The sequence below is a fragment of the Homo sapiens genome, chromosome 7 (assembly GCF_000001405.40).
Source record: "Homo sapiens chromosome 7, GRCh38.p14 Primary Assembly".
NCBI lineage: Eukaryota > Metazoa > Chordata > Mammalia > Primates > Hominidae > Homo > Homo sapiens.
In genome coordinates this window covers 1,959,714-1,976,232 of record NC_000007.14, presented here as the reverse complement: position 1 = coordinate 1,976,232, position 16,519 = coordinate 1,959,714, and the positions used below count along the sequence as shown (strand labels likewise).

Below are 16,519 nucleotides of genomic sequence, written 5' to 3'. Positions count from 1 at the left end.
ACCAAGAACCCACCAATCTCGGACACAGGAGGACCAGGGATGGTCCTCACACACACATGCACAGCCACACATGTGTGCCTGCTCTTGCCCAGATGCACACTCACATTTTCACATCCATTTATTTGTTGTATGTGAATGACATGTATCACATAGCATCGTTTTTCAACACTGAAGCTAGAGAGAGCGTCGGTGGGGATTTTTAAGAGGCAGCAGCTGAGGAGCCCTTTCAGCCAGAACAAATCTGAGCCCGTCCTCTCTGCTGTCAAATAGCAGCTCTAGCAAATCCTAAATGTTGCCTGTAGATTCAGCAACTGGTTAGACGCTTGCTAATTCCAGAGGCTTGCCTATCTGTGCCAGTGCCTGCTAGTCACACTCGGACCCTCGCTTCCCGGCCGTGTGATGTCTTCTGGGTCCCGGGAGGTGCTGGGGGCCCTGGAGACGCCGGCCTGCCTCAGGGGACGAGAGGTGACCCATGACCCCACTCACCCGAGGTCCCCACTCTTCAGGACACTCTGTGATCTCCACTCACACCCCAGGGACCCAGTGCCCAGGCCCACGTCCTTTCCAGAGGGCCAGGTGCTAGACTTTTAATGTTCTTTTGTAGAAATTATCATCTTTCATCCAACAAATCTCCATTAAACACCGCTGCTCTAAGTCCCCTCATGAAACTACATAGAGGTAACTGGAAAGACAGTCCCTGCCTGCCAAGCTTCTAGGGCAGTGGGTTGATCTTTGAGCTCACCGTGCCCAGCCCAGGCCGCCAGGGAGAGTTCAGCCTGGGAAAGTGGAACTGGTTTTCCCTGGTTCTGTCCTGTTCTGCAGCCGCTCCTGCTGCCCACCGTGGAGAACCTGCTGGCTGGGCCGGGTCTGGAGTACAAGTGATTGGTCCCATTGGAAGGGCAGCTGTGGCTGGAAAGAGGTCACCCTCAGATGCTATGGTCCCAGGTGGGAAGGCGTGGCCCCGAGGGGGCCTGGTGATGGACTGCCCAGCCCATCTGGGGATCAGGAGCCCAGGGCAGGACCTGGGGAGCCTTTGTGGCCTCATTCTCCCTCCCCCGAGCAGCTTCAGGAGCAGGCTGAGGCAGCCAGGTCAACAGGGTGAAGGCTGGTGAGCTGCCTCCACCTGGCTGGGCAGCACTGTCAGCAGGCCCGTGACCACCAGAGCTGTCCCCAGCCCACTGCCTGGCTGCCGGTAGCGACAGCGGCCCCTGCGCCTGGGCTCTGCAGGTGGTGCCGGTGACCACAGCCAGTGAAGGCAGGTGCGCTCCCCAGGTCCGGCCTGCAGCTTGGGTCCTCAGGGCCCTGCCTGCCTGGGTCCTGTACCCCGGACCTGCTTCTTTCTCTCCGAAAGCCTGCCCACCTCCCCTGGTCCCCTGGTCCCCAGCATCCTCAGGTTACCCGAACACTCTGGCCGGGGCCTGCTCTGTGCGCTGCATTGGGCACTCCAGGCCTTTCCTTCTGGCGTCTCACGCCCTTCCGCTCTTGAGAGCTTTCCTGGCTCTGTTCACTGATCATTTCCTCTCCTCTGTTTTCTGTGTCTTCTTTCTGAAACTGTTACTTGGATGTTGGATTTTCGAATAGTTTTCTCTCTCTTAAATCTTTTTGATCCTATTTTCCTTATTTTTGTCCTACCTTCTGTATTTTCTCAGCTTTGTTAACCTGTTCTTATTTTATTTGTTGCTATACTCTTCGTTTCCTGAGAGTCTGTTTCTGTTCTCTGAGGATTCTTTTATGTATAAAGCATCCTGTCAGTGTTCATGAGTGCAGTGGGGTCACTGTGTCTTTGATGTTAATAATAGTGCTTTTTGGAGTTTTCTTCTCCTAGTGAACCCTGTTCTCTGTTGCTCTAAGTTGCTGTTTTTCTGCCAGTGTTGGACCTTACTCTTTTCTTTCTGGATGATTTCCTTAAGCGTTTGGTGGTCCCAGCTGCCTGTGCCAGGGTGGGTTTGCCCTGTGCTTCTCCGAGGAATCCGGCTGGGTCTTCCACTGGGGAGCCCTTGGGAGGGGCCTCTGATCTTTCCTCTCCAGCCTGGGTGACTCTGGCGTGGGGGCCTGTGCTGCCAGCTCCTGGGGGCTGAGCAGGGAAGTGTGTCGCCAATGCAGGACTCCTCTTGCGGTGGGGCACCCTGTCCGTGCCTTACCTAAGGGCCTGTCTCAGCCCGGAGATCTTATGCAGGATGTGCAGAGTGACATGCAGGCTCCTGCCCTTCACTCCCAGAAGCAGAAGCCAGCAGAGTGCCCTGTCCCCGCCCAGCAGCATCAGCGTGGCCCCTCGGGGAGCGCGTCTCCTGCCCCAGCCTTCAGCAGCCGGCACTGCTCCTGTGTCTGTGCTGGGCAGGGTCAGCAGGGCTGATGGCAGGGACCTTGGTGCCATTCAGCAGAGGCAGGCCCAGCTCTGGCTCTCTGGTCCAGTAGTGTTGCCATGCCCAACAGGGATCGGAGCCTACACCTCACCCAGCACCGAGGCAGAGCAGGATGTGGAGGGGGGTCTTCAACCCCCAGGACCCCATGTCAGAGGCTCAGCAGGGCCTTCCCCACACCCTGCAGCAGGGAGGCTGCCGCTGCCCTTCATGCCTCCTGTCCGTGGTGGTGGCGAGACAGGCAGGGGCCCAGCTCGCACCCCCCTGTCTGTGGTCCTCGTGTGTGGGGTACACATTCCCGCTCTAGGGGCTGAGCTCGTACCCAGCTGTCTGCGGCCCTCGTGAGCAGGTACACATTCCCCACTGTAGGGGCCCAGCTCGCATCCACCCTTCCGTGGCCCTCGTGAGTGGGGTACGCATCCCCACTCTAGGGGCCCAGTTCACACCTGCCTGTCTGTCGCCCTTGTGAGCAGGTGCACGTCCGCACTCCGCGTGTACCAGGATGGTGTCCGCCAGGTCTGTGCGGTGGCAGAACTCCCACTCTGCCCCCAGGTCTGGCACTCCTAGATGTACACAAGCCAAATAACAGTTAGAAAACCCAGGACGCAGAAGTGTCTGGGATGAACAGAGAATCGGGCAGATCTACATTTACAGTTGAGAACTCACACCTCAGCCTCCACGACTGACGGAACTGAGTGTCCTCATCAGCCCGCAGGACCTAATCAGTGTCTGTGGAACACCCTGTCCGAGAGCAGAGGACTCTTGCCTCTGCATTCACCTGGGACAGTCACAACAGATCACATCACGGGTCATCAAAGAGACCCCAGTAAATTCGAAAGAATCGAATTCACTCAGACTGTGTGCTCTGAGTGTAATGAACCCAAACTAGATGTCAGTAACAGAAGAACAACAGGGAAGTCTCTAAGCATTAGGAGATTAGCAACACATGTCTGCATTGCCCGTGTGGGGGAGGAGGTCTCCCGGTACAAATAAGTACACTGGGCAATAATGGAAATACACACATCTAAGTAAGTGGGGTCCAGCTAGACCGGTGCTGAGAAGGAAGTACGTCATGCTCAGTGTTCACGTTGAGAAAGAGGAATGGTCTCTTAATTTATGTTCCTATCTCAATAACCTGGAGAAAGGAGAGTGGAATAGCCCAGAGCAAGCATGGATGAAGGAAATAACATGAGCAAAAAGCAATGAAATTAAAAAAAAAATAGAGAAAATTATTAAAACAATAAGTTCTGGCTTTTTTGGAAAAAAAATTCAATAAAATTGACAAATCTCTAGCAAATTTGACAAAAATAAAAAGACACCACCAAAATCATCAATATCAGCAATGAAATAGGGGCCATCACTACAGGCCCTGTAGCCATTAAGCAGAGGGTGTTATGCCACAAACAACTTGAAGCAGCGGACTCACTCCTCAGAACCCACAAGCCACCAGACTCGACCAAGATGAAATAGGTTATCTGAATAATCTTGTAAACTATTTTTTTAAAAAAAATTGAAGTCATAAAGATGCGAAGGATATCCCTAGGCCCAAATGGTTTCCCTAGAGAAATCTACCAAACAGTTAATAATTAAGATCAATTTGACACAGAAAATTGAAGAGATTGCTAGGGTTTAGGCACGGGGGTGCATGTGTGTACAAAAGGACAGCGGGGCGAGCCTTCCGGTGTCAGGACAGGCCTGTGTCTGGATGGCAGTTGTGGGCGCACACATCCACACATATGACAGATCACGTGGGAGTAGACATGGAGGGAAGTGTCTGTGAGCTGGCGGCAGGCGAGCAGTCTCTGGATTGTACCCATGTTAGTTGTCCCGTTTTTGATATTGCTGTTTAAGTTGTTACCATCGAGGGAGATTGGGTAAAGAGGACACGGACCTCCTTGTACGTTTCCCACAAATTGCTGTGAATCTGTGATGAGGTCTTCATTCTGTTTTAAAGGTCTCCAGCCAGCCCTGCAGTTCCAGCGCTCCCTCCTCCCTGCTTCCGGAAATTGTTGCTGGGGTGGGTATCCCTGAACCTGGGGAGCTTGTGGTGTCAAAGCTTCTTGGCTGTTCCATTGCTGGCGTGGGATTCAGCTTTTCTGGGGTCGTTTGCCACTCATCTGTCTGGAAGCTTTCCAGCTTCCATTTTAAAGGCTATTTGATGCTGTGCCTTCTTTTCTTTGTCTTCAGGTAAATGCCTCAAAAAAAGTAAGCAAAACCTTTACCCTTGTTTTACCGGGATTTTGAGAGAGATTACACTTAAGTGCACGTGTTCAAGCTACCGTCTTTAACTGAAGTCTTTGATGATTTTTCCGTTTATATAATATATATTTTAAGTGAAACACACATCATTTGCATCCTGTTTCTCCACTATATATTATAACATAAACACTTCCCCATGTTTTTATAGGTTTTTGTAAGTCTTAATGTATAGTTGATTAACCCCTTTTGGAGCTTGAGTGGTTTCGCGTTTTCACCTAGTGAGAATGAAGGTGAACTGTTGGCCATGTTTTGACTTCTGTGCGAGAGAATTCTGTGTGTCTGGAAAGACCAACTGTAGCCTGTAGGAGCCTGGCTGCACTGAGAAATCCCATCGCTTGTGTTTCTTACTGGTGACGGCAACAGCCCCCAGCAGCAGCGGTGGCCATGATTGCAGTGAGAGGCAAGTGATGTTTGTGCGGGGCTCACTGTGGGCCCCGCATGGCACTGCGTGCATCTCCACGTTGATCGAGTTCTAACTGCGGGCCTGAGACGGGGTTTAAGGATATTCACTGTATTGAGGTGGAACTCGCACACCGAAGGGCTGGCTGTGGGCCCCGGGTGGCACTGCATGCATCTCCACACTACTGAATTCTAACTGCAGGCCTGAGAAGGAGTTTAAGGATATCTACTGTATTAGCGCAACTCGCACACAATGGAAGGGATTCATTTAAACCTGAGTTCATGGTCGGCGAGTACCAAGGGCGGGCGGTGGTACCCTTATCCGGGGAGCAGGTCATAGAGGCTACATTATCTTCAGAGTTTTAAAACAATAAGTAAATAAAAGTGGATGCACTTCTTACCACCACATGCCTGCAGTTCTAAAGAATGCCAGCAATGATCTACAATTCTACCACCATTCCCCCACCAGATGCCACCGTCACGTCTCAATAGATGTATGCACAAGCATGCAGCCACCACAGTAAGATATAGGACACAGCCCAGCAGGTGTTTAAATTTTTTACTTTTAAAATTATATAATAGGCTGGGCATGGTGGCTCACGCCTTTTATCTCAGCACTTTGAAAGACCAAGGCCGGCAGATCACCTGAGGTCAGGAGATTGAGACCAGCCTGGCCAACATAGCGAAACCCCGTCTCTACTAAAAATGGAAAACTTAGCTGGGCGTGGTGGCGCGTGCCTGTAATTCCAGCTACTTGGGAGGTTGAGACACGAGGATCACTTGAACCTGGGAGGTGGAGGTTGCAGTGAGCCGAGATCGTGCCACTGCACTCCAACCTGGGTAACAGAGTGAGACTGTCTCAAAAAAAAAAAAAAAAAAAAAAGTAAAAATTAAAATTATATAGTAAAATTAACTTTTTTCTTATAGGATACAGCTCTATGAACTCTAATCACCCTGTAATCAGAGTGCAAAATAACATCAACCCTTCAGGAATCCTCCATGGTCCCCCTTTCCATTCACCCAGCCACACAGGGACCTCCCGGCAGCTGCACATGTCTGCTCAACTCTGCGGCTCGGCTTTTTCCAGCCCAGTCCTACAACATGCAGTCTTTTGAGACTGGCTCCTTTCATTCAGCACAACGCCCTCGAGCGAGATCCATCCAGGTTGTTTGTGTATAAAAGTCAGTTCCTTTTTCACTTAGGTAGCTTTCTCATAAATTTTGAGGTCAGGAGCTATGAGTCTCCCTGGTGGTGGTTCTTTTTCAGGGGGTTTGACTCCGCTGACGGGTAAACAGTGGGCAGTCTTCTTCTCCCTGACACAGATGGCTTTACATTTACTTAGGTTTTCTTCCATTTCTTTTAGCAATGTTTGGCAGTTTTTAGGGTACAAATCTTATGCCTCCTTGGGTAAATGTATTGCAGAGTGTTTTGTTCTTTTTGATGCTGTTATGAATGGAATTGTTTTCTTGATTTCCTTGTCAGATTGCTTGTTCCTAATACAGGGAAATACAACTGATCTTTTGTGTGTTGACTTTGTATTTTGCAACTTTGCTGATTTTGTTTATTGACTAGAACAGGTTATTTGCAGCTTCTTTAGGGTTTTCTGTAGCCTGGCATCTGCAAAGAGAGAGAAGTAGTTTCACTTTTTCTTTTCCAATTTGGATACAATTTATTTCTTTTTCTTGACTAATTGTTCTGGCTATGTTGAATAGAAGCAGCAAAAGCAGACATTCTTGTCTTGTTCCTGATTTAGGGGAAAAGCTTTTAGCCTTTCACCATTGAGATTGACATAAGCTATAGGTTTTTTGTTTTATTTATTTATTTATTATTTTTGAGGTGGAGTTTCGCTCTGTCACCCAGGCTGGAGTGTAGTGGCACCATCTTGGCTCACTGCAACCTCTGCCTCCCGGGTTCAAGTGAATCCTGCCTCAGCCTCCCGAGTAGCTGTGATTACAATCATGTGCCACCATGCCTGGCTAATTTTTGTATTTTTAATACAGATGGGGTTTCATCACGTTGGCCAGGCTGGTCTTAAACTGCTGACCTCAGGTGATCCACTCACCTCGGCCTCCCAAAGTGCTGGGATTACAGGCGGGAGCCACCACACCTGGCCAACAGTCGATTTTTTGAAAAGATGGAATTGCCACACTGTTTACCAGATTCAATAGGCAAGTTGCGGAAATTGGACGGAGAGTTCTCATACCCTCTTCACCCGGTTTCTCTCGCTGTTGACATCTCACGCTGCCATGGTGCTCGTCACCGGCGTGTGACTCTGGGCCTGTCTCCAGCCCTTGTTTGGATCCACCAGGCTTTCCTGCATGTTGCAGCCAGGGCACCGTGTTGATTTTAGTCGTCACATCTCTTCTGCCGCTGGTCGGTGACAGTTTTGTCTTTCCTCGCTTCTCCTGACCTCAGTATGTTTAGGAGTCCCTAGAACGCCCCCGAAGCGAGCTTGTGTGATGTGTTTCATTGTTAACCTGAGATGGTGGTTTTTGGAAGGAAGATCACAGACGACAAGTCCTTTCTCACCACGTCCCATCAGGGAGCCCCTGACATCCACGCAACAGCAGGTGGACCTGACCGCTGGACTGAGGCGTTGACAGCGGACCTGACTGCCGGACTGAGGCGTGGACAGTGGACCTGACCGCTGGACTGAGGCGTTGATGGTGGACATGACCGCTGGCATTGACGGTGGACCTGACCGCCGGACTGAGGCATGGACAGTGGACCTGACCGCTGGACTGAGGCATTGATGGTGGACATGACTGCTGGCGTTGACGGTGGACCTGATCGCCGGACTGAGGCATGGACAGTGGACCTGACCGCTGGACTGAGGCATTGACAGTGGACCTGACCACTGGACTGAGGTGTGGACGGTTGACCTGACCACCAGACTGAGGCGTTGACAGTGGACCTGACCGCTGGACTGAGGCGTTGATGTGGACAAGACCGCTGGTGTTGACGGTGGACCTGACCGCCGGACTGAGGCGTCGACGGTGGACCTGACCGCCGGATTGAGGCGTGCTCTGCCGGGTGCCTCGTCCGCGAAGCTGTTTGCACTTTCTCCAGTCTCTTCCTTGGAAGCGAATCCCTCAGGGCACAGGCGACGCTCCCCCTCTGGAGGGATGAGTTCTACATGTATGATGTGGAGTTCTGTGAGGGAGGTGTCTCCTCTTCCCCATTTATTCACTTCTTCATTTATTACCAGCAGTGTGGACTGGAGGGAGTTTGCCACGTGCTCTGTGTTCTGATCTGGTGCACGCACCAGGACTTGTTTATTACCAGCAGTGTGGACTGGAGGGAGTTTCCCGCGTGCTCTGTGTTCTGATCTGGTGCACGCACCGGAACTTGTTTATTGCCAGCAGTGTGGACTGGAGGGTGTTTGCCGTGTGCTCTGTGTTCTGATCCGGTGCATGCAGCGGGACTTGTTTCGCTGCGTGATCTCCCCGCGGCCGGCCGCGCCCTGCTGTGCCCCGTCATTGGGTTTTCTGAGCCCTTCCTCACTCTCTGGCACCACAGGGTGCTCCAGACTCACCTCGTGTCCTCTGCCCCAGCTTTCCAATCATCCGTTCCTCCAGGGAGCCCGGAGCCTTCTCTTGGCAGCACAGTCCTGAGCAGCCCAGGTCAGGGTCTGGGTATGCCTGTGGCTCCTGGGACGGCACTGCTTCTACACCCTCCCGCCAGCTGCCTTTACCGTAGTGTTTGCGTGCTGTAAATATTTCTGTCCTTTTACTTGCAGCGTACCTGTACCCGTTCTTTGAGTTTCTGTATACATGATGTCATCGGGTCAGTTTCTAAACCATCATGGCAATCTCTGTCTTTTCATTGCTACCATTTTATTATTTGTTTGTGTGTCTCCTCCATTTTTGTTTTTCCTTTTCATGCTTCCTGCTTTCTGTTGAGTTACTTGAATGGTTTTTAGTATTTCATTTTAATTTAGCAGATGGGCATCTGACTATTTCTCAGTCTGATGTTTTGAGTGTTTGCTCTGGGAATTAGAGTACTTATCACTGCCTACTGAGAATCAGCCTCATCCCACTTGAAGTCACACCTGGAAGCCCCTCCCGGCAGGTCCCTTGCCCTCTCCCTTCCTGCTGTCCCTCTACCTACATGGAAATGCCACAGGTTTTGTTTTCAGTCATACAGTGTTTTGAAAAGGGCAGTAAGAGACCCGGGTATTATCTGTAAGCCCAGATAGCTGCCATCTGTTCCTCCTTCATTGTCGATGCTCCAGGTATCCTTCATGTCCTCTTTCCTTCTGAAGGATTTCCGGCAGCCTCTCCTGGAGAGCAGGTGGCTACGATTCCTCACGGTTTCCCTCGGGTGGGTCCGTCTTTATTCCTCTCGTGTTCCTGAAGGAGCTCTGCCCTGCGCACGCAGCGCGGCCCGCGGCCCTCGCCTCCCAGCACGCCACGATTGCGGCGTTCCTCCTCCTCACCGCGGTTCCTGCCTGGGGAGAGATTTGCAGACGCTCGAATCGCTGTTCCCTTTGAGGTCACACAGTTTTTTTCTGTTTTCACCATTTTTTTTGCCTTCAGTTTTCAGCAGTTTCGTTTGGATGTGTCTGGGTGTGGATTTCTTTGGGTTTATTCTGTTTGGAGTTTGCTCAGCTTCTTGAATCTCTAGGGATTTTTTTTGTTTTTTTTTTTTTTTTGCCAAGTTTGGGATATTTCAGCCATTTATTTCCTTAAATACTTTTTCAGCAATTCACTTTTCTGTGAATTTGCTGAGACCTTTGGGTTTCCGTGTGCTGTGAGAGCGTGCACACTCGTCTGCATGGGCCGTCTTGTGGCCCCTCTCCGCCGCACTTCCCAGATAACCCAGCCCCATCTCCTCAGCCCCAGCAGCTGGAACTGCCTCTCTCCAGGCTGACTTGAAATCTCTGTGGTTCTTCATGTGCCGAGTAATTTGGGGTTATGTCCTGAGCATTGTGAGAAGAGGTTTTGTGTTTAAGTCCTGTGAGAAATGAGAGTGTTTTAGTTTAGCAGTGAGCCGACCTGGGTGGTTTCTAGCCCAGGTCCCAGCGACCTTCTGTGGGGCGCGGTTCCCATCCCAGTTCAGGTTGTGAAGCCTTGGCAGCGCTCCTGGCCTTGGCCTGGGACATTGGCAGTGCCTGTCAGCTTAGCTATCATCAGCTTCAGAGGCCAGTGTGGATGGGACCCAGGCACAGGCCAACCCAGGGACGCCCTCAGCTCTCACCGGCTTCAGATGCCAGTGTGGATGGGACCCAGGCATGGGCCGACCCAGGGATGCCCCCCAACTCTCCAGGACTACGCTTTTCAGTCCTTCCATTCTGTGATCTTCGGGTCCTTTCACGTTTCTGGGTCTCCCCTTTGTGGTCCTCCAGGGACGTGGGGCTCTCTTCGCACCGTCTGTTGCACTTTGCTGGTGTCATGGAGGTTGGGCCCACGCCCGGCCCTGCAGGAGGGAGGACAGGGAGGAAAACGCAGCTAGAGTTTGTCCTGCCCATCTGGAACGACAGCAGCTTCAGACAGAGAGCACGGCTCCTGCCTCAGGCTCCCTGCCGCCACTGCAGCCCTGTGGGCTGAGCCCGTGGTAGTGTGCGAAGAGCAGAGGCAGGGGCCACGGGGGCCGGGGAGTCCATACTCCGAGCAGGGAGGGTCCCACGCTCCTGAAGCTCAGTGGCTTTCTTTTCCGGCCCCCAGGTGAGTGCTGGAGGACTTCGCCTTGAGCTCCTGGTACAGCAGCCTCACCACTGCCTGGATGGTGGCACGAGGTTGAGGTCAGGGGATGCGAGAGAAGAGCCACGATGTTCCCTACCCACCAGTGCGGTGGGCCTTCCAGAGCCGGGCACGTGTCCAGGCATTGTAGCCCTGTCTGTGGGAGAGGAAGGGCAGGCGTGGGCACCCGTCACACTGCCATGTCTGCGCGGCTTTGTCACGTGCTCTCTTTATGACAAACAAGCCTGGAGGGGCGAGGTGCTCCGTGTCAGGACACGCAGCGAGTGTTGGGTTAAGCTGGGCCCCACCCACCCTTGTGTGACCATCTCCAGGGCTGGGGGTCCTACGTACCCCACTCGCCAGCCTCTCTGGTGGGGTTCCCACACCCGTTGTTCAAGGGAAATGGTCATCAATGCCTGCTGTGAGCCAGACACCATGATCAGGGCTGGAAACGTGGAGCTAGCCATTTGATGAAGGGGACAGAGAAGTAAAATGTGAAGTGTGGTGGTCAAGGCCCACTGGGGAGGGGCTGGCGGGCAGTGCAGGGGTCTGGGACCCGTGGGAGGCTGGCCTGGGTGAGGGGCTTCCTGGACTGGATGCTGTCTGCCCGTTGGGCCTCGGGTCTCCCTACTGTCCCCTCTCCAGGCCCCAGGAGCCTCACCTGCGGCACCCAGGCCTCCCGCCCCCATTATGCATCTTTTAGTTCAGCAAAAACAACTAATCATTTTTCTTGCAAAAGTTTCCCCCGTGTGTGATGGGTTTGTTATAAGCAAGATCCCGGCTACCCTCCACCTGCTTTCCACGCACACGCTCGGAGACAGGCACCTGCTTTGATTGGCGTCATCTTCTCGAGGAAAGATCTAGGCTGGCAGCTAATTTATGTAGCGCTCCTCGTGTTTAAAAAAGTTGCAGTAAGTCAATTTCAAGAAGCTTATGCCAGAACTGATTGCTTTGAGCCATTTGAAGGCAAACCAGAATTCTGAGCTTTTGAGCACCATCCCCCCAACTTGTTTATTCGTTTGTTCTCTTTCTCGCTCTCTGTGCGGTAGCAGTTTGTCTGAAAGGAGGGCAGCAGAAGAAAGCGCACCCCTTCGGTGCACAAATGAGCCCGCATGTGGGCTTGCTGTCTGGCGGCGAGGGTGGGTCACGCAGGTCATTCTGTTAACATGGCTGCAGCTACACGCGTGCGCTCATTCCAATTCAGCCCTTGAAAGCATTTTGCTCCCAAGCCTTCAGAATCCATAATATCATTTTAAAAGGGGCCTTTTCATCCAGCGTCTCCCTAAGTCAAGAAGCCCCTGCAGAAGGCAGCTTCTCGGAGATGGCCTTGGAGGCCCCCACCATGTCGTCACTCATCACCTTGGGCAGGTTCACTCCCCTATGAAGCCCTGGGAGGCGAGGGTCAGGAACACCCACCCTGGGCCCTCGGCCAGGCCCCTTACCAGCTCTGTGATCAGGGGCCTCTCAGATGGCTTTCTGAGCCTCAGTCTCCCCTTTACTCAGGCACCAGGACTTCCCTGCTAGATTGATGTGAAGACTGAGGGGGTTGTTTGTAAAGCCACAGCACTTGCGGGGCTCCCAAAACCTCTCCAGGAGGCATCAGCTGGTGCCGGAGGTGTGTGCTAGGTCTCACACTGCACGGCCACCCTGCCGAGAGACGGTGACACTGGGCTGTGCTCAGATGTCTCCCCTGCCGGCGCTCCCTGCCTCAAGAGGAGCGAAGCATTGTTGCTGCAGAAGTACCTTCTAGGCCCATGCTCAGGATGTTGGTGTGAGTGGGAGTGCCCCAGACACCCAGGGAGGGCAGCGCACGGCGTCTGCTGGGATGACAGAGACACTTGCCCCTGGCCAGCAGCCTCGCCTCCGGAAGCATGTCCTGCAGGTGCGCCGTACAAGCAGGAAGCAGATGTCAGAGGTCATTCACTACAGTATGGTTTTTACAGCTTTCCTGAGGTATAACTGGTGTGCAGTAAGCTGCGCGATGTCAAGTGCAGTGTGGTGAATTTGCATGTACACACACATACACCCATGGAGCCGTTACCACATTCATATTCAAGACCCCCAGACATGTGCTCTTGTTTGACAGGAATCCCTCCTCCCTGCCTCCTCTCCCCACCCCAAACCCGCCGACGTGCTTTCCATCACTGTAGATTGGCGGGCGGCTGTCGAGTCTTCTGGGCATGGCGTTGGTCCTGGAGCATGTGGTCTCCCTCTTTTTGCTTCTTCCACGCAGCATGGCTGGTTGGGGGAGAGATCACTGTGCACACAGCTGTGTTGTCTTCACTGCTGAGTTGTGTTCTGTCGTATGGAGACACCAGTTTATACGTTCCCTTGCGATGGACATTTGGAGTTTTTCTGGTTTTTGGCTATTCTGAAACTGCTGGATATTATAAATAAAGTCCCATGTAGAAATCGACTTCGTTTTCTTTCAGGTAAACGCCTAGTGTGGAGTGGCTGGCGGTCACGTGTGTAACGTGTTCCGAGGTTGCCCGTCTTCCAGAGTAGTTGGTGTGCAGCTTCTCCTCACCAGCATGCAGCACAGTCTTTTTCCTTAGTCCCTCTTTTATTTTTTTAAATGTTTCTTTTACAGACAGGGTCTTGCTCTGTTGCCCAGGCTGGAGTGCAGTGGTGGGATCATAGCTGCCTGCAGCCTCTGACTCCTGGGCTCAAGTGATCCTCCCACCCCAGCCTCCTGAGTAGCTGGGACTACAGGTGTGCACCACCACACCCGGCTAGTTTTTTAAAGGTTTTCATTTAGGCTTTCTAATAGGTTGGCAGTCATGTCTCACTGTGGCCTTTTATTTTTTATTTCACAAATGACTAATGATGTTGAACATCTTTTCATTCAGCTCACTTGTCATCTGTAGATCTTCTTTGGTAAAGCACCTGTTTTTTTGTCCATTTTAAAATTTGATTATTTTTCTTACTGTTGAGTTTGGGAGAGCTCTTTATATGTTCTGGATACAAGGCCTTTATCAGATTATTTGCTTTCCAAATATTTTCTCCCAGTCTGTGTCTTGTCTTTTCGTTCTTTCATCAGGTATTTTGAAGAGAAGTTTTTTTATGATAAAGTCCAATTTTTCAATGTTTTCTGTTATATATGATCCTTTGGATATTAGTCCATTTTCATGCTGCTGATAAAGACATACCCGGACTGAGTAATTTATAAAGAAAAAGAGATTGAATGGACTCACAGTTCTACATGGCTGGGGAGGCCTCACAATCATGGCAGCAGGCAAAAGGCACATCTTACATGGTGGCAGACAAGAGAGAATGAGAGCCAAGCCAAAGGGGAAACCCCTTATAAAATCAGATCTTGTGAGACTTATTCACGACCACGAGAATGGTATGTGGGAAACCATCCCTGTGATTCATTATCTCCCACCGTGTCCTTCCCACAATAGATGAGAATGGTATGGGGGAAACCGCCCTATGATTCATTATCTCCCACCACATCACTCCCACAACACGTGAGAACGGTATGGGGGAAACCGCCCTGTGATTCATTATCTCCCACCACAGGCCTCCCACAACACACGAGAATGGTATGGGGGAAACCACCCTGTGATTCATTATCTCCCACCACGTCCCTGCCACAACACACGAGAATGGTATGGGGGAAACCGCCCTGTGATTCATTATCTCCCACCATGTCCCTCCCACAACACACGAGAATGGTATGGGGGAAACCGCCCTGTGATTCATTATATCCCACCATGTCCCTCCCACAACACACGAGAATGGTATGGGGGAAACTGCCCTCTGATTCATTATCTCCCACCATATCCCTCCCGCAACACATGGGGATTATGGGAGCTACAATTCAAGATGAGATTTGGGTGGGGACACAGCCAAACCCTATCAGGTATCATAGCTAAGAAATCTTTGGCTGTCCCAAATTTACAAGATTTTCTCCTGTATTTTCTTTTAATAACTTTGTAACTTTTGGTTCAGGATTGAGCAGGATTTTCATTTATTGTACAAGATTTTAATTCTTTATTTCCCCCAAGAACACCCAGTTGTTCCAGAACCATTTGTTGAAGAGTTTGTCCTTTCTACGCTGAATTGCCTTCATATATTTTTCAAAAATTGGTTGTGTTTGTGCTCCTATTTCTGGACTCTGTTTTGTTTGATCGGTCTGTCTGTCTTGCAGACCAGTACTGCACTGTTGTGATTACTACGGCTTTAACGTAGTTGGTGAAATTAGGTAGCCCCTCCTTTTTCATTGTCAATGTTGTTTTCTCTATTCTAGGTCCATTACATCTCCATATGAATTTTAGAATCAGCTTGCCAATTTGTACAAAGAAGCCTGTGGGATTTTGACTGAGGTTGCTGATTCTGTGGATTAATTTGGGGGAGAAGTGCGTTCCCAACACCCAGAGTCTCCCAGCCTGTGGACAAGGCCTCTCTCTCTCCCTGTGTGGAGGTTGCCCTGGAGCTCTCTTCACAGTGCTCGGAGCTTGTCACGTGCAGGTTTTTCTTGGCCTGTTCCGTTCCATCTCTGTGTATTTCATGGTGTTGGATGCTTTTGTCAGTAGTATTTTCCAGATGACTTTCTGGTGCTGATTGCTAGTTTAATTCCATGATGGTCCTATAACATAGTTAGAATTATGAAATTCCTAAATAGACTGAGCCTTCTTTTATGGTTTAGCATGAGGTCTTCTTGGTACATAGTTCAAGTGCTCCTGAAAAGACTGGGTCTCCTGCTCTTAAGAGTCGAAGCATTTATCCAGGTGAAATAGGTCAAGTTGGCTGATCATGTGGTCCTTGTCCTCCTGATTTTTTGCCCGTTGTTCTATCAGCTATTGAGAGAGGGATACTGAAGTCTCAGATTGTCATTGAGGACCCGTCTATTTCTCCCTGCATTTCTGGCTGGTTTTGCTTCATTTGTTTTGCAGCTCTTTTATTAGCACACACATGTTTAGGATTATTATTTTCCTTTGATTAATCAATCTCTTTATTATTATAAGTTACCTTCTTGGTAATAATATGTGCTCTGAAATTTACTATTTCTGGTATTAGTAGCGTCTCTGGCTTTCTCTTGCTGGTTTTCTTAGTGATGGCATGTTATGTCTTTTTGCATCTTTGTATTTAAAGTGCATTATTGTCAGCGGTGTCTGATTGGGTGTTGCTTTTTAATCCAGTTTGAGTGTCTGCCTTTTAATTGTGGTAGTTAGGCTACTTACATCTAATTTGTTTATGATATAATTAGTTTTGATCTTGTCATTTGACTGTTTTCTACTCATCTGTCTCTTCTTCATTTCTGTTTCCTTTTTTTTTTTTCTTTTTACCTTTTTTCAATCCACTTTGGTATTTTTCTGATTTTGTTTTATTTCCTTTTTTGGCATCTTAGCTATAAGTCTTTGTTATTTTAGGGCTTGCTGTAGGGTATATAGTATACATCTTTAACTTACCACAGCCTACCTTCAAGTGATATTACGTCTTCTCACACACAGTATAATCACCTTACAGCCACAGTGTTGGTTTTTCTCCTCCAGCCTTTATACTGTTGTCATACATTTTATTTATTCTATATATTAAATCCCCAATATATTTTCATTAGTTTTGTTTAATCTATTAATCACTTTAAAAAGTTAATAATTTAAATTTTTTTAAGAGACCTGAATGTAAGAAAGATCCTCCCTAAATGCAGCTGCTGTTCCAGCCCTCCTGGTTCTCCGTGCAGATCTGGGTGTATTTGCCCCGCCCCGCCCTCGTCCTCCCTCACCTGCAGGCCTTACCTGACATTTCTGTAGAGCAGGTCGGCTGATGATGAATTCTTTAAGCTTTCGTGTCTGATCTGAAGGCATCTTTATTTGC

The 16,519-nt window shown here is 50.2% G+C and overlaps 1 protein-coding gene across 5 annotated transcripts in view, besides 1 other annotated feature; it reads left to right on the top strand.

Moving 5' to 3' along the window:
* The window catches only part of MAD1L1 (mitotic arrest deficient 1 like 1), a 417,151-nt gene that overhangs the window by 256,713 nt on the left and 143,919 nt on the right, over positions 1 to 16,519 (top strand). The window lies entirely within an intron of this gene.
* Positions 13,733 to 14,932: an enhancer, noted in NCBI's record as "P300/CBP strongly-dependent group 1 enhancer chr7:2000936-2002135 (GRCh37/hg19 assembly coordinates)". NCBI's record gives its function as "activates an origin of replication core promoter dependent on BRD2, BRD4, P300/CBP, MED14 and CDK7 cofactors, with strong dependence on P300/CBP, by STARR-seq in HCT116 cells {active_cell/tissue: HCT116}" and the evidence as "EXISTENCE:reporter gene assay evidence [ECO:0000049][PMID:35650434]".